Source organism: Homo sapiens, chromosome 9 (genome assembly GCF_000001405.40).
Source record: "Homo sapiens chromosome 9, GRCh38.p14 Primary Assembly".
Taxonomy (NCBI): Eukaryota; Metazoa; Chordata; class Mammalia; order Primates; family Hominidae; genus Homo; species Homo sapiens.
This window is the reverse complement of record NC_000009.12, coordinates 26,779,567-26,805,123: the sequence shown is the minus strand read 5'-3', so window position 1 is coordinate 26,805,123 and position 25,557 is coordinate 26,779,567. Positions and strand designations below refer to the sequence as shown.

Here is a 25,557-nt window from a genome sequence, read left to right as displayed (position 1 = left end):
AAAAAAAAAAAGAAAGAAATATATGTGGCTGAGCACAGTGGCATGCACCTGTATTCTCAGCGACTTGGGAGGCCTAACTGGGAGGATCACTTGGGCCCAGGAGTTTGAGTCCAGCCTGGACAATATAGCAAGACCCTGTCTTTCAAAAAAAAAAAAAAAAAAGTGAGAACTATATGTGATGAAGTTCATTCCACAAATATTTAATATCTACTACATCCTACTTACTATGTGCCAAACACAGTACTAGGTGCTTGTAACTGGTTAAACAGGCAAAAAATCTTGCTGTTGGGGAGTTTAGTATATTTAAGCTTGTTGGAGTATTTCTAAGAACCAAATAAGTAGGCCTTCATTGTGGTTATAATTTGAAACTTAACAAATGGGCAACATAGCGAGAGTTTGGAAGGTTAATACCAAGGAAGTTTACTACCATACGTATTGCACTTAATATTTATTTTATTTTTTATTTTCTTCTAACATTTTGTTATGAAAATTTTCAAGCATATAGCAAAGTTTTACATTTTACAGTAGACACCCACATACTAGATTCTATGATTACCATTTTACTATACTTGCTTTATCATATATCTATCCATTCATTAATATATCTTATGATTTGTGACATATGTCAAAGTGAATTGAAGACACTAGCACACTTCCCCTAAATACTTCAGATATTTATTATTAACTAGACTTTAATATTTGTTTACATTTTTCTTTTGATTGAAATGCACCAACTTGAGTATATTTACTGTTTCTTGTTTTGGTTTTTTTTTCATACGGAGTCTCGCTGTGTTGCTCAGGCTGGGGTGCAGTGGCATGATCATGGCTCACTGCAGCCTTGACCTTTTGGGCTCAAGTGACTCTCCCGCCTCAGCCCCCTGAGTAGCTAGAACTACAGGCACACACCATTACACTGGCTAATTTTTTTCATTTTTTGTAGAGAGGGGATCTCCCTATGTTGCCCAGGCTGGTCTCAAACTCCTGAGGTAAAGCAATCCTCCTGTCTCAGCCTTCCAAAGTGACGGGGTTACAGCGTGAGCCACTGCACCTGATCCTGAGTTTTGAGGAATAGCCACACGTGTATTACCTATCAAGATATAGAATACAGTAAGTTTTCTCATTCTCCTTTTCAGGATATCCCTCCTACAACCCCAGAGGCAACCTTTGTTCTGAAGTTTTCGCACTCTAGATTAGTCTTGCATATTCTAGCATTATATAAATGAACTCGTAAGATATACAGGTATATACTGTTGTGTAAGACTTCTTTCACACGGCATAATGTTTGTGAGATTTATCCATGTTGTCTCATGTATCAGTAATTCGTTCTTTTGTGTTGTTCATCTCATTGCTTACCAGTCTATCTGTTCTCTTATTGACGGACACAGATTGTTTCTAGTTTTTGGCCATATGATAAAAGTGACTATGAGTATTCTTGCACAAGTCTTTTTGTGAATGTATTTTTCTTTCTTTCTTTCTTTCTTTTTTTTGAGATAGAGTCTTGCCCTGTCACCCAGGCTGGAGTGCAGTGTGATCTCGGCTCACTGCAACCTCCGCCTCCCAGGTTCAAGTGATACGCCTGCCTCAGCCTCCCAAGTAGCTGGGATTACAGGCGTATACCACCATGCCCAACTAATTTTTGTATTTTTAGTAGAGACGGGGTTTCACCATGTTGACCATGCTGGTCTTGAACTCCTGACCTCAGGTGATCTACCCACCTCGGCCTTCCAAAGTGCTGGGATTACAGGCGTGAGCCTCCGTGCCCGGCCCTGTGAATGTATTTTTCATTTAGATTGGGTTAATAGCTACATGTGGAACTGCTGGTCATGTGATAGGTATAGGTTTTCTTTTTGGAGAAACTGCCCGACATATTCCCAGTGTGGTTGCATCATTTTACCTTTCCATCCAAAGTGCTGTTGCATGCACTCCGTCCCTGGCCCACATGTGATGGTGTCAGTCTCTTTAACTATAGCCATGCTGGGGATGTGTGTACTGGTGTCTCTTTGTGGTTTTAATTTGCATTTTCTTGATGATGCATGACATTGAGCACTTTTTTGTGGGCTTATTGACCACTTGTGTGTATATATGTATTTGAGTGTGTTTGTAATTTGACTCTTTAAATCTTTGGCTTATGTTTAATTGAGTTGTTTATGTTTCTATTGTTGAGTGGTCACAGTTCTTTGTATATCCTAGGTACCAGTCCTTTGTCAGATTAAGGTTTTACAAATGCTTTTTCCAAGTCTATGACTTGCCTCTTCATTTTTCTTAATGGTGTCTTTTGGTGAGTAGAAGTTTTTAATTTTGATGAAGTACAATTTATCTCTTTTTTCCTTTATGGTTACTGCTTTTGTGAGCTAGGAAATGTTGGCTACTAGTAAATCATGAGCATATTCTCCTGTAAAATTTCTATAGTTTGAGCATTTATGTTTAAAATATTTTTCCCTTTTCACTAATGTTTATAATTTTTGAGAATAAATCTTCTAAATGATGTAAAATAGTACCCAGTTAAAATTATTTTTATATATACACAAATAAATGAAGTTTAATCAGGTTATGAGAATCTCATTATGTCTTTCCTGTGAAAATATGTCCAAATATGAAATTATTGAAAAGGTAAGACCATCTTGCATATTCATCTTTTGTTTTCATGCATATAGTTTATGAATAATAAAGGATTCTCTGATTAAAGAACAACCTTAACTTAAAGAGGTGTTATAAATACACATTTGTTCAGGTGAAAGATAATGGATACTCTATTAGCCAGGCATGGTGGCAGGTGCCTGTAATCCCAGCTACTCAAGAGGATGAGGCAGGAGAATTGCTTGAACCTGGGAGGCGGAGGTTGCTGTGAGCTGAGATCGTGCCACTGCACTCCAGCCTAGATGACAAACCAAGACTCCATCTGAGAAAAAAACAAAAAAGACAAGGAAAATGGATACTCTGTGCATTTATACATAATGGTGAGTGGCAGGGAGGGAGGAGTAGCACCTAGTCCTGTGCTTCAGTCTCCTGGCACAGAAACTTTGGGAGGACAGTGAGAGTAAAAACTGCACCCTCCTGGGTTACCTTATTCCTCCTGTTCCCGGTTGTCCTCACATTTGTCTTCTGTCTCACACCTCCAGATCTGATGGTCAGATGACTTTGGCGACAGTCTTTCTGGCAAAGGTTGTAGCCTGTGTTCCTTTACACAGCTGTTACATCTTAGAGGAATCTGACCCACTGGTAAATATGATCAGGGCACCTGATATTCAATCAAACAGAGGGCAGTGGCTCATTTAGACTCTCACATAACATTTGCTCCGAAATGGATTTTCTGAAAATTTCCACTTAAATAACTATGGATTAACTTTTAGTGAGGCCAACATGGCTGAAGCTAAGCAGAGCGTATAACCCCAGACTATTGGGCAGCTGCACTTTGTCACGGTTCCGCCTTAATTCACTGCGTATTACTTCCTTTGAAATATGCAACCAGATTCTAAATTATTCACCTTTTAATGTCTGGAAAATGCTTAAAGCATTTGGCCATTTATTTACCTTATTTGAGCAATACACCCAGGTAGGGTAAGAATATATTTGCTAAAGCAAAGTATACTTCTCTAAAAGATTAGAGTAGTATATTCAAAATGTCTTCCCAACTTAGACAAGCCATAGAATGTTAGTGATAGTGTTTTTATGCAATCCTATTAGAGATAGCATTCTGTGTTGTGATGAGTCCCCTAAAATATTTTTTTATGAACTTAAAAAAGTTTCTAATATAAAGGTTATATTATCAACAAATGCTAGAACCAAATAGGATTTTGAAGATTATCCTTCTTTAACAATGCCTTAAATTTTTATCTCCTTATCCATTCCTCATTGCTTTCTTTCTCAAGACATTATGGTTTATTGTGTCTCCACTAGGTACCTTGCATGTGATTTACACAGTGAATGGCCCTGCTTTCGGAGCAAGTTAATGATATAATATCCCCATTTATATTCAGAACAGTCAACACTTTCTAGCTTTCAGAATAATAAAAGCACCTGCATTTAATATACATGGAAGAATGGGAAGGCAAATAGCAGATAAGGCACAATCAGGTAAGTGTAATCAGATAAAATATCACAGTATTATAGTAGATCAGCATCTGGTAATGACTTGAATTTTGAAAGACTGACAAACAGCTTGGCCTAAAGCAGCCAGGCATACCTCATTCAGAGCAACTCTTCCCAGAGTTGATTGCTCCTCTCATGTGTTTTCTGGCAGATTAAGCAGGTAGGGTTTCTTATTTTAACTCTTCTAGAACTGCATTGTGCCACTGGAAAAACATTAGCAACGTTTCTTTTGAGCCCAGAGTGGAAACAAAAACAAATGACATATCTAAAAGTAAAATCTTGCGTCTTCTAGCAGTTATCTCGAGTTGATCCCAATCAATTTTATTAACAAACAAATCTTGCAGTTGTAGACAGAGCTTTCATTTCCATATCTGTACTTGCCTGCATGGCACTGACATTTTATTCTAATTTTTTTTTTTTTTGTAATAGCCAAGGAAAACTGTTAGGTTATTAGAAACTGATCTCTCTCTGAGAGGTTCTTTCATTCTTGACCACTGGCAGCTGGTAGACCTAGCTGTGTATCTTAGCATTGATGAGCCCTAATGTAACAGAATCATATGGTGCCAAAGAGAAAGTTTCAAATTTGCAAAAGTCAAAACTGAACAAACTGGTTTGTCAAGTGGAATTTAGTGGTTTCCTTTTTCTTTTAAGTAATTCTTTGTTGGGGGCAAATTATCTCTTCAAATACCTAACTTCAGCTTACCAGGTGCTACAGTGGCATGGGGAGTGCAAGGTACAAGGCCTGAAGAGGGCCCAGGTGCAGAAGGGCTGCAGCAAATAAATGTCCGGCCTTCTGTTGGTCCCAGTGTCAGCCTCTCCATCAGCAGGGCTCCAGCATTTTCCACAGGATCAGGAAGTGTCTTTGCTCTTATCTACTACAATTGGAGTAGGACATCAGGTGCAGAAAATTGATGATCTCAGAAGATCATCTCAGAAGATGGAGCCATCTTCTGAGAGGCTCTGTGTCCACTCTTTTGTTCCTCAAATCATTTGCTTTTGTTTGCCGTTCTGAGGGTGGCAGGCCTGGGTGCTGGCCAAGTGGTGTTTAATGAAACTTTCATAAATACTAGTATGAAGAAGATGAAATATCTGGCCATTTCATTTAGAACAACTCTGTTTTTGTAGAAATGACTCTTCTCAAAATATTTCTGCCTTTCCACCTGACTTAGCTTGGGCTATAATAACAAATACCATAGACTGGGTAGCTTAAACAACTGGAGTTTATGTTCTCTCAGTTCTGGAGGCTAGAAGTATGAGATTAGGGTGCCAGCATGATTAGGTTCTGTTGAGGACTCTCTTCCTGGTTTGCAGACAGCTGTCATCTCACTGTGTGTTCATATGACCTCTTCTTTGTGTGCACAAGTGCAGGGACAGAAAGAGTGAGCAAGCTCTTTGTTGTGTCTTTTTTTTTTTTTTTTGAGACAGAGTCTCACTGTCGCCAGGCTGGAGTGCAGTGGCGTGATTTCAGCTCACTGCAACCTCCACCTCCCAGGTTCAAGTGATTCTCCTTCCTCAGCCTCCTGAGTAGCTGGGACTACAGGTGTGTGCCACCACGACCAGCTAATTTTTGTATTTTTAATAGAGAATGGGTTTCACCATGTTGGCCAGGATGGTCTTGATCTCTTAACTTTGTGATCCGCCCACCTTGGCTTCCCAAAGTGCTGGGATTACAGGTGTGAGCCACCATGCCTGGCCTGTTGTCTCTTCTTATAATGATACTAATTCCATCATGTGAGCCCAACCCTCATGACCTCACCTAAACCTCATTGCTTCCCAAAGGCCTTGCCCCCAAATACCATCACACTGAGGGTTAGGACTTCAAGAAATAAATTTTTTTTTAGGGTTGGGACAAAATTGAGTCCAAAGGACCACCCAATTGTATTATTATTAGCAAAGTTAGTAAGAGTAAGACAAAGAGCCACTGTCTATTCAGAAAAGTTGACATCAGAAATAACTATTGGGTACTAGGCTTAGTACCTGGGTGACGACATAATCTGTACAACAACACCTGTGACATGAGTTTACCTGTATAGCAAACCTGCACATGTACCCTTGAACCTAAAATAAAAGTTAAAAAATAATAATTTAAAAAAGGAATATAGTAGTTCAGTCTATAATGGAGCAAATTTCAATTGACTGGAAGTCTTGATAGCCAAATTGTTCATTCCTTCTTCTCACGCATACCCATATCCGTACTCAAACATCGCTGCCACACCTACGTTGGGCTTTAGAGGAAGAGAGCAATCACTAAAGAAAGTGTTTGTGTTAGGAATTAAATGAAAAAATAATAGCTTTCAGGATATTTAAGGCATCAATAATTTCTTGTACTTTCTATTATGTTTTCTACCCTTGCAGTAGCATGGACTGATCACTGATTTCAGAATGAGGAATTAACCCACAAGGGAGCTTCAACCACTAAGGACATTTTTAGTTATATTCTAAATATCAAGGTTGGAAAGACAACTGATTTTCAGAAAGTTTCCAATGACAGGAGTAGAAAGCAAGAAGGAATTCATGGAGAAACGTGAGTCAATTACAACACCCTGTTTCTGGAGCATTTTGTTTTATATAATGTTTTCTTTCACATAATTCATTATCATATGCTTTGGGGAGGTGGGCTGAGATTTACATTTTACAATAGAAAAACTGAACTTCTTCAGGTCATGAGATGAGATCTGGATCATCAATTTAGACACAGTTTGCAAAATATTGAAAATTGAAAATTCCTCCTCCCCCAGTTTTTTGTTTCATTTTGTTTTGTTTTTGCATTTTAGTTGTAGCCTAGGAGGAACAATAAAAGAAGCCTGTTGTTACTATTTTAACTTGTCATCTTGTGAGTGTGGGCCACGAAGAGCAATGCTGTCCATGTTAAAAGAGACATGTATCATTATCAGATTTGTGGTAGGCAGCTTAGATAAAGCACAATCGAAGCTATTTTAACTTCCAAATTGAAAACGTGTGCTTCTGCCTGAAGCCACATTAAGAGGTATTTCATAAATAGTGATGGTGATAACATAATCAGCCAAATAATTTTCTGGTTCCCCCTGCATTCTTCACCCTTCTTCAGAGACCTCTTCTTGGAGGTCAAAGATACTACAGTAAGTATAGCTTACTGTACTTATAGCCATCTGAAGTATAGTGTGAGCATTAATTCATCCTGAGTGTTTAGGTATAGACTGTGCTACAGGTAATTGGGTGTGAAGCATAAGCCTTGCTACTTTAAGACTATGGCTTATGCATTTTGCCACCACCATCCCATCTGGGGCAGATAAAGTGCTGATCTCTCGGGAGATAATAATGGGAAATTGATTGAGGACAATAAAGAGACTGGGAAGACATGTGGGTGTGATGGCATTCACCCCTAAAAGAAGGATAAGAATCACCATCCTAAGAGAGAATTTGTGATTACTTCCTAAAAACTGTATGTATTGTGCTTTTCCTCTCTATATAATTTGACGATTTTAGATGACCAAAAAAAAAAAAAAAAAAAAAAAAAAGATACTTCTTAGTTACCTTTTCAGTAATATTTGTATCCTATACTCTGATCAAGGGAAATACCTGAGTTTTCCTTTGTTAAATGCATACCCCCAAATCTAAACTTGGTACATTTCAAGCTTCTGGAATTTGAAAACATTCGATTTTATTGTGTGTCAGGTCTTGCTGCCTGTTCTTAGGAAGTAATTTAACTTTTTGTTTCAGTTTTCTTATTTTAAAAGCGGAACATTTGTGGCTCTCCCCTGTAATCTCAGCACTTTGGGAGGCCGAGGCGGGCGGATCACGAGGTGAGACCATCCTGGCTAACACGGTGAAACCCAGTCTCTACTAAAAATAAAAAAAATTAGCTGGATGTGGTGGCGGGCTCCTCCAGTCCTAGCTACTAGGGAGGCGGAGGCAGGAGAATGGCGTGAACCTGGGAGGCGGAGTTTGCAGTGAGCTGAGATCGCGCCACTGCACTCCAGCCTGGGGGACAAGGCGAGGCTCCATCTCCAAAAAAAAAAAAAAAAAAAAAAAAGGCAGGCACATTCCATGTCTGACTAAATGTCTTGATTTTCGATTTGAAAAATAGTTGAGTTCTCTCAGATAATAATATTCAAATCAGGGTTTCTAATGGTTATTGCCACCAGAAAATTGCTAATTTCCCAAAGCCTCGGAGAGAGGCTTCTGGCAGCAGCAGCCCACAAGTGGAGCTGGGAGGGAAATCCTTCTGAAGTTTGCAGCCATAAACATAAAATCCTGTCATTTGCAGCAACATGGCTGAGCATGGTGGATAATACGTTGAGTGAAATGCACAGAAAGATAAATACCGCATGTCACCATTCATATGTGGGAGCTAAAAAACGTTGGGTTTCTAGATGTACAGAGTAGAATTGTGATTATTAGAGGCTGGGAAGGGTGGGATGCGGAAGGGAGGATAGAGAGATGTTGGGTAACAGATATAAAATTATAGCTAGATAGGAGGAATAAGTTCTAGTGCTCTAGTGCACTGTAGGGTGAATATGGTTAACTATAATTTATTGTGTATTTTCAAAAAGCTAGAAGAGAGGATTTTGAATGTTCCCACAACAAAGAAACGATTACTGTTTGAGGTGATGGATTTGCTAATTACCCTGATTTGAACATTATATATTGTATACATGTATCAAAATATCACCCTGTATACTATAAATACATACTATTATTACAGTCAATTAAAATAAAAGGAAAATAAATCAAATGTAGTAAAAAAGAAACATATCTATTTGACAGACCTGGAGCAGTTACTGTCTGCTGCTAAGGTTTCCACTACAGATGCAAGCAAAAAGTGTCCTTATACTTTCTGTTTGTCTCACTGTGGCAGCTAACATTGAACAGAGGATACAGGGGGAAAATGAATGAACAAACAAACAAAAAATACCAAAGCTTAAGAGTTAAATGTTGTTAGTCCTAGGGTTATAATTTATCTTTATGTAGTCAAATTTATCAATTCCTATGTGGCTAATACTTGCTTTCTTTAAAATTAAGGTATAACGTTCATACAACAAGCATATATTCTTAAATATCAGCCCAATGAATAAACATATGTATGTATGTAACTACATACCACAACCAAGATCAAGATGTAAAACATTCTTAGCACTCCAATAGACTTTCTAATGTCTCCTCCACCTTGGTGCCCCTCCCACTGTTCTGACCTCTTTCATGATAGATTAATTTTGCCTGTTCTGAACTCCATATAAATGATACCATACCATATGTATGTATTCATTTGCGCCTTCTTTTCTTTTTTATTTTAGGTTTGTGGGTACATGGGCAGATTTGTTATATAGGTAATCTCATGTCAAGGGGGTTGGTTGTACAGATTATTTTGTCATCCAGGTACTAAGCCTAGTACCCAATTGTTATTTTTTTCTGCTCCCCTCCCTCCTCCCACCCTTTACTCTCAAGTAAGCCCCAGTGTCTGCTGTACCCTTCTTTGTATTCATGAGTTCTCATCATTTAGCTTCCGCTTATAAGTGAAAAAATGTGTTTGGTTTTCTGTTCCTGCATGAGTTTGCTAAGAAAAATGGCTTCCAGCTCCATCATCCATGTTCCCGCAAAAGACATGATCTTGTTCTTTTTTATGGCTGCATAGTAGTCTGTGGTGTATATGTACCAAATTTTCTTTATCCAGTCTGTCATTGAAGGGCATTTAGGTTGATTCCATGTCTTTGCTATTGTGAATAGTGCTGTAGTGAACTTTTGCATGCATGTGTCTTTATGGTGGAATGATTTATATTCCTCTGAGTATATACCCAGTAATTGGATTGCTGGGTTGAATTGTAGTTCTGCTTTTAGTTTTTTGAGGAATTGTCAAGCTGCTTTCCACAATGGTTGAACTAATTTACACTCCCATCAACAGTGTATAAGTATTCCTTTTTCTCTACAACCTTGCCAGCATCTGTTATTTTTTGACTTTAGTAATAGCCACTGTGACTGCTGTGAGATGGTATCTCATTGTGGTTTTAATTTGTATTACTCTAATGATCAGTGATTGAGTTGTTTTGCATATGCTTGTTGGCCACATGTATGTCTTCTTTAGAAAAGTATCTGTTCATGTTCTTTTCCCACTTTTTAATCGAGTTGTTTTTCTTGTAAGTTCATTTAAGTTCCTTATAGATGCTGGATATTAGACCTTTGTCAGATACATAGTTTGTAAATATTTTTTCCCATTCTGTAGGGTGTCTGTTTACTGTGTTGATAGTTTCTTTTGCTGTGTAGAAACTCTTTTTTTTTTTTTTTTTTTTTTGAGATGGATTCTCACTCTGTCACCCAGGCTGGAGTACAATGGTGTGATCTCGGCTCACTGCAACCTCAGCCTCCCGGGTTCAAGTGATTCTCCTGCCTCGGCCTCCCGGGTAGCTGGGATTACTGGTGCCTGCCACCATGCCCAGCTAATTTTTTTTGTATTTTTAGTAGAGACGGGGTTTCAGCAAGTTGACTTGAACTCCTGACCTCCGGTGATCCACCCACTTTGGCCTCCCAAAGTGCTGGGATTGCAGGAGTGAGCCACCATGCCCGGCCAAAACTCTTAAGTTTAATTAGATCCCATTTGTAAATTTTTGCTTTGGTTGTGATTGTTTTTAATGGCTTTTTAATAAAATATTTCCACATTCCTATGTCCAGGATGATATTGCCTAGGTTGTCTTCCAGGGTTTTTATGGTTTGGGGTTTTACATTTAAGTCTTTAATCCATCTTGTGATGATTTTTGTATACAGTCTAAAAAAGGGGTCCAGTTTCAATCTTCTGCACATGGCTAGCCAGTGATCCCAGAACCATTTATTGAGTAGGAACTCCTTTCCCCATTGCTTGTTTTTGTCAGCTTTGTCAAAGATCAGATGGTCCTGGGTGTGTGGCCTTATTTCTGGGCTCTCTCATCTGTTCCATTGGTCTATGTGTCTGTTCCTGTACCAGTACCATGCTGTTTTGGTTATTGCAGTCCTGTAGTATAGTTTGAAGTCAGGTAACATATTGTCTCCAGCTTTGCTCCTTTGCTTAGCATTGCCTTGGCTATTTGGGCTATTTTTTGCTTCCAAATGAATTTTAAAATAGTTTTTTCTAGTTCTGTGAAGAATGTCATTGGTAGTTTAATAGGAATAACATTGAATCAGTAAATTGCTTTGGGCAGTAGGACCATTTTCATGGTATTAACTCTTCCTACCCACGAGCATGAGATGTTTTTCCATTTGTTTGTGTCATCTCTGATTCCTTTGAGCAGTGTTTTGTAATTCCCATTGTGGAGATCTTTACCTCCTTGATTAGCTATATTCCTAGATATTTTATTCTTTATGTGGCAATTGTAAATGAGATTGCATTCCTGATTTGGCCCTTGGCTTGGCTGTTGTTTGTTGAGCCTTACTTCTTTCACAAAACATTATGTTGGTGAGATTCATTCATATTGCATGTAGCAGTAGTTCATTCTATCTCATCGTTTGTGGTATTCTATTGTATGAATATACCACAATTTTTTTCTACTGTTGAGAGACTGTCAATTGTTTCCATTTTGGGAGTATTATGAATAATACCTGTATGGCCATTTTTGTCTATCTTTTGGTGGACATAAGTACTTATTTATCTTGGGAATATACCCAGGAGTAAAATTGCTGTGAGATCAGGTGCATGTATGTTTAATATTCATAGATAGTATCAAAGAATGTTCCTATGTAGTCATAATAATTAAATTCCTACCAGCAATGTGTGAGAGTTTTGTTGCTCCACATCCTCACCAACACTTGATAGTACCAGTCTTTTTTACTATTAGCCATTTTTGTGGGGAAAATAAAAACAAAACTACCAATTTTGAAATCAAGAAGAAACAGAGTAGGAAATGTCAAAGAAACTGAAATGTGTGACCCTTGTGTGTTTAGATGTGTATGGAATACCTGTATACGTTAGTGAAAGCTGTTTATCGTAATGGGGAAAACCAGATTCCTTGCATCTGGGCCCTCTACTGATTGTTAAAGGACTTCCTGTCACCTGCTCTCCCCCTGTTGCATGCGTCTGTCCACTTGGCTAACTTTTAATATGTGTATTTTTACATTATGTAAATTCTTAACTGGCCTTTCTCGTTTAGACTGTATACATCATATCTGACATTATTGTAACTACTGTGTGATCAGTAAGATTCCTTATAAGAAATACTGCTTTTTTAAAAAAAAAATAACATGCTGAGGGGTGATCTATATCCCACTTGAGTGAGTGGTCACTTTATTTATAGGATCTTTGAAACAAGTACATTTTTAATGAACTAAGTTGAATAAAGGCACAATTAAAAACTGTCAAAAAAAAAAAAGAAACTGAAATGATACTTAAAAACTCTCTTCATCCAAAAAACGGAAACAAACAAAAAAGCCTGAGGGTTTTATAGGTCATTTCTACCAAACTGAACAATGTGGGTTGTGTGTTGGGGGGTGGTCGGTGAGGGGGTGGGGTGAGTATGTGTGTGCATATGTGTGTGTATATTACACATTGTTCAGAAAATGGAAAAAGAGTGAAGATTCCCAATTCATTCTGAAATCAGAGTAAGACTAGTTAAAAGAAAAATTAGGCCCATTTCAATTATAAATAGATTTTTAAAAATCTTAAACAAAATATTAGCTTAATGAATCTAAAAGTGTGCTTTCTTTAAAAATGCATTGTAATCAGGTAGATTTCATTCCAAGAATGTAACATCAGAAAATCTGTCAACATACTTCATTAATAGAGTAAAAGAGATGATTCTTATGACTATATCCATTGAAAAATATATTTTTTCTTTTTTTGCTAAACATTATCACCTATTTATGACAAAGAATAAATAACTCTTAGGAAACTGGAAAAAAAAAAATGCTGTAAGTGTCCTCAGAGATTGGTGGCCTGAGAATTTGGCCTTGGGCCTTGCTGGCTCTACCATAGACCTGAAAAAATTTTCTTAAGTTAAAAAAAACAAAAGCAGGAATATATTATTTTAATGCCACCTTTAACAATCTACTTATTTCTTAGCTAAACTCTCTAGATATTTATCAGAAAATTTTGTCATTATGTGATGGGGCATGACAATTGTTCAGTAAATTATTGTTATAAAAACATTATAAAAATACATACATAAGTAGATTTCTAAGGAACAAGTGTGCTTAGCTGGAGATGAAAAATTGTTAAATATCAAAAATGATCAGTGGAGTAAAACCCTCTGAAAAAAATAGTAACTTGGCTAAATAATGAGTGCTATGATTAACATATTCTACAAATCTATCAATACTATGGCTCGGCATGTCCTCGTTCCTTGCCAAAATTAATAATGAGAGATACCAAGGCCCTATTAATATTTTAATAGTCTAATAGGCACAGGCAAGCATGCAGCAGAGAAGAATGTAAATCAGTGGTCAGGACTGCCAGATCACATCAAGAGAGTTTACCAGGTGGGTGAGTCTTCCTAACACTTTCTTAACTCTTTCCTGGATTCATTCTCATCCCAGCACCCAATTACAGAAAGTATACTAATTTTGAACAGAAGGGTGTGCAAGTACAAGGCAAAACTCACAGAATATTTAGGATTCTTTATGCTGACTATGTATTTTAAGAAATACAATTGTGGGGTGGGCACGGTGGCTCATACCTGTAATCCCAGCACTTTGGGAGCTGAGGCGGGTGGATCATCTGAGGTCGGCAGTTCGAGACCAGCCTGACCAACATGGAGAAACCCCGTCTCTCCTAAAAATACAAAATTAGCAGAGTGTGGTGATGCATGCCTGTAATCCCAGCTACTTGAGAGGCTGAGGCAGGAGAATCGCTTGAACCCAGGAGGCGGCGGAGGTTGCGGTGAGCCAAGATTGCGCCATTCCACTCCAGCCTGGGCAAGAAGAGTGAAACTCTGTCTGAAAAAAAAAACAAAAAACCCCAAAAAAACCCAAATGTTCATGTCAGTGTGTATCTTTAAATGCTCTGCTATCTGAAAAATAGTAGAACTTTTTATAAAGCACATATATCTGGGAGTTTGAAGAAACAGGTTTTATCTGATTCTAGCACTGGTAGTCTCCTTGTTGTAACCATTAATCTCCAAATTCATCCTTCACAGAAATGACATAATGTATGTAGACTATTATGAGACAATGGAAAGAAACTGAATGAAAGAAGGAAAAAAGGAAAGAAGGAAAGAAAAATATTACTATTATTAGTAAGGTAATTAGAGTGGTGCCCAGCACTATGTAGGCCCTCAGAAGTGTTAGTTTCCTGCTCATTTTTCCTTCTGAGAGTCCCATTTTCTCAAGAGACTTTGCTTGACTTTCCTGTGGGGCACACAAGGTATGTTGCAGCTCTCATAAAATGTTCTTCAGAGTAGAGTTGGAGTTGTAGACATATCAGTAGTTCTCTCTTGTGCTAATACGTTCATACTATTGATACCTGTAGGGTTGTTCCTTAGTGAAGGAGGATCTGCTTCTTGGGGACTATTCATCTGTGCCTCATCTTTGGATGATTTTAAAGGATCATTTGTTGGAGACCACACAGAACCAGAGTGATCACACCATAAAGACCACGTATTTTTCAACTGAAATTTCAGATTTAAATACAACTGTTCTCTACGGCAAGAGAGTGGGGAAAGCCAGTGGGAAAAAGACATGATTCTAGAAAAAAGGGAACAAAAGGAATTTTTGCCAAGAAGCCAAAATCTGTATGCTCACCCCAGGACAAACACCCCTAAATATAGGTTTCGTAGCAGCTGTTGGAATCTGCACGAGACCAGAATTTGTTCTGTTCCTGGAGGCTTCTTATGCTTCAGTCAGTGATGACTCATTTTTAATCACCTGATTATAGTTAGAGCTCACAGACAAGAAATGAATTTCTTCTCTCCCCCTTTTAAAAAACATTTTCTTACCACTTAAAAGAGCTTAGTTTTTCCTTTGTTTTGGACTCTTCTGCCAGCTTGCCTGACTAGGATTTTTCTCTTCACAAACCACTCCCAACTTCCACACTATTATGCTTGCTGTATTTTCTGGCAATTCTCACAGTTCCAGTCCTCACCAGCTTTCATGAAGCTTTTGCTCCAGGCTCTTATTATTGGAACGGGCTACCTTCTTGTCCTGCTGTCTACTGGTCAACTAACTACTCTTCCTCAGGGTCGGCTCCAGCATTCTCTCTCAGTGAAGTTTTTTGTTGTTGTTGTTGTTGTTTTTTTTTTTTTTTCCTTCTCTCCCCTTTAAGTCCAATGAGCTGGGTTTTTTTTTTTTTTTTTTTTTTTTTTTTTAAAGACAAAGTCTTACTATGTTACCCAGGCTGGAGTGCAGTGGTGCCATCTTGGTTTATTGCAGCCTCAACCTCCTAGGCTCAAGCAATCCTCCCACCTCAGCCTCTTGAGTAGCTGGGACTACAGGTGCATGCTAATTTTTATATTTTCTGTGGAGATCGGGTCTTGCCGTGTTACCCAGGCTGGTCTCGAACTCCTGGGCTCAAGTGATCTGCCCATCTCAGCCTCCCAAAATGCTGGGACTACTGGAGTGAGCCACCGCACCCAGCCTGAGCTCCATTCTCTTTAATTCCATGTCACATTGAATATTACAAAGTGCATAATATTCTTCACTGTATTGCAGGCTTCTTGACAACAGTGTCTATGCCATTTGTTTTTATGTGCCTGACATATAGTAGGTGCTGATAGAACATTTGCAGAACAAATGTTCATTGCATTCTCTTTTGTTACATGCAACAAAATAATTTGAAGTCAGTAAGGGGCGTCTGATATGAAAGATATTGGTGAAAAGAATAAGTGCTTATACTTTATGCTTTAAGACACAGAGAGCTTCGTTTGTTTAATAAATGTGGGTAAAAATAATTGACATGGTGATGATAATGGGACATCCACCTTGGAGGCAGCATAACGAGGCACAAGAGCACTGGTTTCAGGGTAAGCCAGAATTCTAGGCATAGCTGTGCCATACAACCTTGCCGTGGTACCCAGGGCCCTCCCCTTTCTGAAGTTTATTTTCTCATCTTGTAGAATGGGGAGACAGGATGAGATCATCTTACATGAATTTCAGTTCATTTAAGCTCTGAAACTGTATCATCTATCGTAGCTCCAAGTAGGGATTGCCTCTCACTGCCAAAAAGCCCCAACCCCTCAGCCACATATGTAGGTACCCAAACAGTCCTTGTACCCTAAATCCTTTTCTCCTTTCATGCTTATCTCCCTCTTCCTCTGATCCTGTAGGTTTTGCCTTGAAGCTTCAGAGTAGTTTGAACTCAGTTTTTCCTACAGGTTGGTTTTATTTACCTCCTCACTGCCTGCCTGTGATCCCTGCATGTCCCTCATACAAGTCTTAGCCCCTCTCCAGCCAACCCGTACTTCCAACTGGCCTTGATAAGATTTGAATTCCTCATTATACTTTTCCCTATCTTCATTTTGTGTGTGTGTGAAAGCTATATTGCCATAAAAGTCTGCAGGAATTTGACCATCAGCTCACATCTCTGTTTTCTATTTTCTCAGAACTCTCCCACCTTTAATATGATAATAGTAATAAGTACTGTTTATTGAGGGTTTACTATGTGCCGAATATTGTGATGCCAAGATGGTTGTCCTATCACCCGCTTACTGTTACCACATCAATCACATCTCTAAGGACTTACATCTCTAATCCTTGTACCATTCCTGAAGGGTGGCTATATCAGTTGTTGAGATGGAGAAAGAAGAAACTGACTGTACGATTGTTTAAATAACTTGCCAAGAGTGTCTGACTCCAAAGCCAATGCTATTTCCAAAGCAAATGTAACGCTGTCTTGCTACATTTCAGCATATGTAGATCTAGATCAATTTTTTGTTGTTTTATGTCAGCATTCATTTTGTTTCAGAAACAATATCATAGTACCAGTAAGAAAACCCACACTTTAAAGACATATCAACTTACTGTTTTTCTTATTTACTCTTCTACTCTTTGTTTATATTCATACATATTTTAAAGAGTATGATTCTAATGTAGATTTAGTCTTTATTCTAAAAATAACAACTCTGTAAGCTTTTTCTTTGTTGTCCTCCTCCTTTCTGTCATTTTAATGGCTGCATAATTTCCATCAGATTGGTTTAATCATAGTTTTATTTTTTTGTTTTTTGGGTTTTTTGTTTTTGTTTTCTATGATGGAGTTTCTTTCTTGTTGCCCAGGCTGGAGTGCAATGACACAATCTCGGCCCACTGCAACCTCCGCCTCCCGAGTTCAAGCGATTCTCCTGCCTCAGTCTCCCAAGTAGCTGGGATTACAGGAACCCGCCACCAGGTCCAGCTAATTTTTGTATTTTTAGTAGAGACAGGGTTTCACCATGTTGGCCAAGCTGGTCTTGAACTCCTGACCTCAGGTGATTCGCCTGCCTCAGCCTCCCAAAATGCTGGGATTACAGGCATGAGCCACCACACCCAGCCAGTTTATCATATTTTTAAATAAGTTTTTGCTACTGTAAAACATTTAGATTATTTCCATTTTATACTGAGATAAATTATGTTATAGTAATGATATTTATGCACTTTAAAAAGATTAATGGTTAATATGTTGGCTTTTAAATAACTTTTTAATTGTGGAAATATTGAAATATTCTCAAGAGACTGGAAGGAAACTATATGTACCTGTAACTCAGTTTCAACAATGATCAACATTTTCCCATCTTGTTTCATTGAATCCCCTACTTTTTTTTGAAAACATTAAAGAAAATTTCAAATTTCTTGAAATTTCACTTTTAAATACTTCAGAATAGACTTGTAATGGATAAGGACTTTCTCCTAAAGTCATCTCATACTCTGTGATCTCCCTGTACTCTCTAGGTTCAAATTTCCTGATCATCACTAGACCTTTTTCACATTTGGTTTGTGTAAATTAGGATCTAAATATGGTCCACACATTGCAGTCAGCTGTTATGTCATTAAAGTTTCATTCATTCTAAAGAGCACACACACACCCACACACACTTTTTTTAATGCCATGACTGGTGGAAGAAACCATATCATAAGTCTTGCAGAATGTTCCACATTCTGAGGTTGATTTTTCCTCAAGGTATTGTTTAACTTGTTTCTCTAGCTACTGTATTTTATTAATAATTGGTAGTTAGATGTTGTCTTGGTCCATTTTGTGTTACTGCAAAGGAATACTTGAGGCTGGGTAATTGATAAAGAAAATAGATTCACTTAGCTCACAGTTCTGCTGGCTGGAGTCTTCAAGATTAGGCATGTGGTGAGGGCCTCGGGCTGCTGCCACTCATGGCTGAAGGGAAAGGGCAGCTGGCCTGTGTAGAGATCACATGGTGAGAGAGGAAGCAACAGAGCCAGACTCTTTTTAACGATCAGTTCTTGCAGGAACTAATAGAGTGAGAATTCACTATTCCTTGGACCCAGGGAGGGCATTAATTTATTCATAAGGGTTCCACCCCAATGACCCAAACCCCTCCCATTGAGCCCCACCTCCAACACTGGGTATCAAATTTCAACATGAGATTTGGTGGGGCCAAACAAATCATATCTGAACTATAGCAGATATAAAAGGCTTAACAGGATTGTGCTCAATTTTAAAGAAAGAATACTTCGTAAGTAGGATCCTTTTCATTTTGGGATCAAATTTAGTATTCTTCTCAGAACACTTTACCAGATCATAAGCTTCTTTCCTGTTCTGCAAGAAAGCCTCTTTTATAGGGAATTTCCTCAAACTAAAAGCCCATTTTTTTGTTAGATACATGTAACTGGATCCCTACTGATATAAGCTTCTGCTCTTGGATCCTGGACCCACTGTTAACATTAACCAATTTTCTTCTAGCCACATCAACCTTAACAGAAGACTAGGAATTGCCAGAAATAATTTTGAAAGCTGTTGGAGGCCCAAGAAAAAAAACCTGGATTTGGAAGAGGAATAATTGAGATTGAGGAAGGATGCCTCAACCTTAGACAGTGAATATTCTGGTTCATAGGCTGAGTTCAAATGGATGGGACATGGCCAATTTGTTGCTGCCCTTACAGGTCAGTGAAGGGCTAAGATACACATCTGTTTTCTGTCTCTATACTCTTTGAGCTTGCGGTAGTTTAAGTGAGGGTTCTCTGGGAGTGTTAATGTGGACAGCCATTATAAAGCAGTAAGCTCTGATGAGTCTTGTTCCTCATAACGATTCCTTGGGCACAGTATGGGAGCCATGGCTGGAGCAGGGGACTAGCGAGTTTTCCTATCTCCCCACAACACATTCCTCAGTGTATTTTAGATGTGGTGTTTGAGGCATCTCTTCAGGGCCACATAATGCCAAGAGTCCTACAAAATGGAGCAAAGGAATATCCAAGATGTGAGACTCCTAGAATTGTCCAGGAATAAGGAGAGGGAGAGTGATTCTTCTCTTTTCTTTCTGGTCTCAGGAAAGTGAAAAGCATGTATGGCTTCTGCTTTAAGTAACTGGGCAAAGTTACACCTCCCATATCCTGGTTTGCCTGGCCATTCCAACCCACTGCATCTTCACACAGTACTGGTAAACTCCTAGCACTACTGGCCAAGAAGACATGGGTCCCCTTCTTCTCTGTCGTCCCTGAAATTGGAAATGCTACATCAAGGTGCTACTACACTTTTCAAACGTATGCCAGAGGCAGTTACAGTATTGTGTTAATAGGAACATGGATGGAGATGGCTCATGACAATAGCTTCAGAGAGAGAAGGGCTCTGAAGTGCTTTATTTAACAAAGTGGCCTTTCTTTTGGAACAAATTCAAGTATGAATTTTTCTCTTTTATCTTATTAGGCTCTGGAACGGAAACTTTGAATTTTGACTTTAAGCTGTAGGAATATAAAGACTTTGCTCATTCTTTTAACATCTGGTTACTCATTTGTTTTATTCATCATCATTGTATGGTATAGGGAACATCACTGGAAGGTCAGCCACAGAAATTGAGAATCTGAAAATGCAAAAAAAGACTCAACATTAGGTTATCTAATTCTATGAGTCCTTGTTTAAAATTATTTATGGCAACTTGATCTTTGCCCAGTTTAAGCTTAAGTATTAACCATTTTTTCTTCTTTATTTCTCTTATAAAATAGGTGTGCCATTTATTAACTTTTGCTTAGAATCCTTGTTACTCTTCTGTATTTTCCTGATTGTCCCCACATATGTCTCTTTGGATATAGTAAACAATTCTTTTTCTTTCTTATTTAACCTTTAAAATACGTATAGGTTTTAAAATTGACACTCTGGTAAACTATACTATTTTTAGCATTTGTTTTTGGCCATTTGAGTATTGACCCTTTTTTGATAGTTCTATAATGTGTATGTAGTGAGTGTAGGTAATGTGTGTGCAAGGAGTAATGTGAGTGCAATGAGTAATGTGTTACTAGTTTTCATACTAATGTGTTATATAGTGTTAAGTATTAGTATTAACTAATATTAGTGTTAGTATACTGATAGAGCATTAGTAAACTATCATAAATGAGGAGAGAGAAGAGTATCATATTTCTTTTGGTTTTGGACAAGTCATATAAGGAAAAGAGTGAAATTGAAAGGAGAATATTGCTTTAGGTTTCAGTTTATACCAATAATTAGTTTTAAAAATCCTTTAGGCTGGGCGTGGTGGCTTACACCTCTAATACCAGCACTTTGGGAGGCTGAGATGGGCGCATCATGAGGTCAGGAGTTCGAGACCAGCCTGATCAACATGGGGAAAACGCTATCTCTACTAAAAATACAAAAATTAGCCAGGCATGGTGGCAAGCACCTGTAATCCCAGCTACTCAGGAGGCTGAGGCAGGAGAATCACTTGAATCCGGGAGGCAGAGGTTGAAGTGAGCCGAGATTGCACCACTGTACTCCAGCCTGGACGACAGAGTGAGACTCCATCTCAAAAAAAAAAAAATATATATCCTTTAAATGTTCTTGCTCAGTATTTCTTAGGGGTAGCAAGACGTAGGCTAGAAAGTGTAGTGTTTTATTAAACTTTAGTAATTTGTCAGTTAAGCATACCCAATAGAAGAGAATAATAGTAATATCATGACTCTTAGAGTCAATCATAGTATTTCAGGCTAAAAAAGCACCAAAGAAATCACACTATTTGATACTCTTACCTCATACATGACTAAACTGAAGCTCCTGAGTTTTTCTAGATCAAATGGCTATTTAGTTGCTGAATCTAGTTAAGTTTTCTCCCCGATCTCTATGATTTGTTAAATGTAATCAACATTGAGTAGGAGTGACACAATTTACCTTAGGAACTATTAAACCAATTTTCCTTTACATTTTTTAACCTTATGTCATGGATTATTTCTCATTTTGTAATAAATCTTAGTTTGATCTTCCACATGGGTGCTTAATACTATTATTGTGTAAATACTGAAAAATCGACGTGTGAAGACCCTACAGTACAATGCCAGGCTATGAATCCTTTCACTGTGCATTCTGAAACATGCATTCTGAAATGCACAGCAAAAGGTGACTAGCTCCATTGTGTTGTTTTATCTGAATTTTCATCGGTATCTAGTGTATGTGTGTGTGTGTGTGTGTGCGCGTGTGTGTGTGTTTACCAGTACAAGGAACACACAGAGGATTCAAATAGTAAATGAAGAAGGCTGGTTATTATTTCCAAGATCAGTCAAAAGCCTTTGTCCTCAGACTCTTCAAACGGAAAACAGAAACAAGTTGGCTCCTAAAACTGAGGATCAGTTTCTGACTTGAGATCTGTATGGACATAGCTCTTTGCTAGAAGAGGAAAGGATACTTTCCTCTCTTCTGTGTGCTTATCTTTCTCCTTTCCGTGTTTTCCATTTATTGAATTCTCATCTTCTGGAGCTTTACTTTTGGAAAGAAACTTGTGTAATTCATGGACACCATTTTTTCTTTGTCTTGTCATGCTAATTTGCTGCATCCTAGTCTTTCCCTGTGAATATGTACAGTTTACAAGCTGGGTCATTGGTATGTGCTACCTAGCATATCCACTTCCTCAGTCCATATTCACTTCCTCCTGTTGCATAGGCCATTTTGGCTTTTAAGCAAACAAGGGAGTACATTTCTGTGTATATGGATGAAGTCAAAATAAAAAAGCTTGACTATCAGACATGAATCAAATGTGCTGTACAGACTAATCCATTATTTGAGTATATCTGGGACTACGTGTATTAATCTTAATCATGTTTACTCTTTTAAAATATCAACAGTTAAAAATTGCACATCTTCTTATTAAACATGGCTTTGGAGCTGAGATGTAATCTCCTAAATGAAGGAATAAAAATAAGAGCAGGATGAGCCAGCTAACCATTTTTCTTCCTAAAAACTTGAAATAAATGGAGATCAGGAATGTTAGACATCGTTCAATAAATCAGAGGTCTTATGACATTTCTAATATTTTATTAACAAAATTTTGATTTGATTTATCTATTTAAAATAACTAGCAAGGTATTCTCTAAGTGCTGAAACATAAATTACAAACACGAAGCCTTGATTTATGTTAATAGTGGATAATATGTGAGACATGGCAAGTGATCACAGATTTTGTAATATTCCCTGAGTTGGGGCTTGGAATCAGAGAAAATTACTGAAGAAAGTGCTGCCTTAGTCTCCATTTGTTAATGTATAGATGATGGCTGTCTTCTAAGAAATGATATAATCTTGATGATGTGAACTTTCACTCCATTCCAGATACTTTCAGATTTTAGTGACAGTTCTGGGTGCTTTCATGTCTCCAGGATGGATGAAAAACAGTCAGTTCTCTAGAAGGATAGCATAAAAGTTTTTTTTTTAAAAAAAGAGAGGGTTTGCCTATGTAAATATTGGATCTCACTGATCTCTTCCAGTAATGTTTTCATTTTTTCCATCTCTTGGACCCTAAATGACACCTACAGCCAATTCCCAGTTCTATGTCAATCCAAAATATTCCTTTTCTATTCTTTACCTGGGCTGCTGAGCTTTACTGGAGAGAAATCACATGGTTATGCAACTTGGCACCACTCCACATTTTTATTTTCCAGCCTCAGGAACTTTGGTTTGGTTTGCTTCATTCACCTACCTCCCTGTTCTCTGCATGGCTGTCTCCTTCTGATCCTTTGAGTCTCACCTTAAATGTATATAACTGCCTCAGGGAACCCTCCTTGGATCTCCCTATGTAAGCAGGTTCCCCCTCATTCAGTGCCCTGTTCGTTTATTTCATGACACTTTGCACTCTTTCTAATTGTTTACTCAATGCTTGCCTGACTTATTGTTTGTCTCCGTAACTAATTTCTTGTGCATAGGGATACATCTGCTTGATTAGTTACTATAGTACTGTGCTTTCTGGCACACAGTAAGCACTCAGGAAAAATTTTTTATATAAACAAATAAATTGTGAGATTGCATTTGAGAAAGAAAAACATTCCCTTATTTTTTAAAAAAAGTATTAAAAACACTACTGCAAGTCAATGTTGCCATAAGCCCAAGATATATTCTTACAGATGGCAGATTGCATTACCTTCAACTTATGTGTGGTTAAACAGTTAAACAGACTCTTGTGTTCTGAATTATGAACTCGTAGCAGTTGGTGATCATTTATAATAGTGGTTTGCGGCCGGGCGCGGTGGCTCACACTTGTAATTCCAGTACTTTGGGAGGCCGAGGTGGGTGGATCATGAGGTCAGAAGATGGAGACCATCTTGTCTAACATGGTGAAACCCCGTCTCTACTAAAAATACAAAAAATTAGCCGGGCATGGTGGCACGTGCCTGTAGTCCCAGCTACTTGGGAGGCTGAGGCAGGAGAATCGCTTGAACCCAAAAGTCAGAGGTTGCAGTGAGCTGAGATTGCGCCGTTGCATTTCAGACTGGGCGACAGAGCGAGACTCTGTCTCAAAACAAAGCAAAGCAAAGCAAAGCAAAACAAAACAAAACAAAAACAAACCAAAAAAACAGTGGTTTGCAACTTCTTTTTGTCTGCAGGTAACACACAGGCCAATGCTCTGTTGACATGTTCCACCTCAGCACACCCAGGGTCGCGTATGACTGTTCCTGCGCCTCTTTCTTCTCTACTCAATAAATATTGTGATGCAAGTGAATGAGTGAGTGTCTGTAAGGCTACTGGACAGATAACTGTAAGTCTGTTCTAATTTATATTAAAAATGAAAAGATAAAATACTTACAATTTTGGGGGTTTTATTAGTAGTAATAAATTACTTGCTACACACTTCACTGCTCATCAGGATACATCAGTGTCATGATGTGGATATATTTTTTCTTTTTTTAACTTTTATTTTAAGTTCAGAGATACATGTGAAAGTTTGTTACATAGGTAAACTTGTGTCATAGGAGTTCGCTGTACAGATTATTTAATCTCCCAGGTATTAAGCCCAGTACCCAATAGTTATCTTTTCTGCTCCTCTCCCTCCTCCCACGCTCCCATCAAGTAGAACCTAGTGTCTGTCATTTCCTTCTGTGTGTTCGTAAGTTCTCATCATTTAGCTCCCACTTGTAAGTGACAATGTGATATTTAGTTTTCTGTTCCTGCATTAGTTTGCTAAGGATAATGCCCTCCAGCTCCATCCATTTTCCCACAAAAGACATGATCTCATTCTTTTTTATGGCTGCATAGTATTCCATGGTGTGTATGTACCATATTTTCTTTATCCAATCTGCCACTGATGAGCATTTAGGTTGATTCCATGTCTTTGCTATTGTGAATAGTGCCTCAATAAACATCTGCATGCGTGTGTCTCTATGGTAGAATGATTTATATTCCTGAGGGTATGTACACAGAAATGGAATTTTTGGGTCAAATGGTAGTTCTGCTTTTAGCTCTTTGAGGAAATATCATACTGCTTTTCCATAATGGTTGAACTAATTTACACTCCTACCAACAGTGTATAAGTGTTCCTTTTTCTCTGCAACCTTGCCAGTATCTGTTATGTTTTGACTTTTTAATAATAGCCATTGTGACTGGTGTGAGATGGTATCTCATTGTGGTTTTAATTTGCCTTTCTCTAATGACCAGTGATATTGAGCTTTTTTTCATATGCTTGTTGGCTGCATGTATGTCTTCTTTTGAAAGTGTCTGTTTATGTCCTTTGCCTACTTTTTAATGGGGTTGTTTGTTTTTTCCTGTAAATTTAAGTTCCTTATAGATGCTGCATATTAGGCCTTTGTCAGATGCATAGTTTGCAAATACTTTCTCCCATTTGGTAGGTTGTCTGTTTACTCTGTTGATAGTTTCTTTTGCTGTGCAGAAGCTCTTTCATTTAATTAGGTCCCATTTGTCAATTTTTGCTTTTGTTGTGATTGCTTTTGGTGTCTTTGTCATGAAATCTTTGCCTGTTTCTATGTCCAGGATGGTATTGCCTAGGTTGTCTTGCAGGATTTTTATTGTTTTGGATTTTACATTTAAGTCTTGAATCCATCTTGAGTTTATTTTTGTGTATGGTCTAAGGAAGGGGTCCAGTTTTAATCTTCTGTATCCCAGCACCATTTATTGAATAGGGAGTCTTTTTCCCATTGCTTGTTTTTGTCAGCTTTGTCAAAGATCAGATAGCCATA

The 25,557-nt window shown here is 38.1% G+C and overlaps 1 long non-coding RNA gene across 1 annotated transcript; it reads left to right on the top strand.

Annotated features, from left to right (window-relative positions):
- Positions 1–1,039: 1,039 nt before the first annotated feature.
- Positions 1,040–7,828, top strand: LOC107987028 (uncharacterized). The gene is made up of 4 exons (XR_001746568.1): positions 1,040–1,107; positions 3,898–4,074; positions 6,445–6,613; positions 7,789–7,828. It is a non-coding gene; the product is annotated as an uncharacterized LOC107987028 (long non-coding RNA).
- Positions 7,829–25,557: the final 17,729 nt, after the last annotated feature.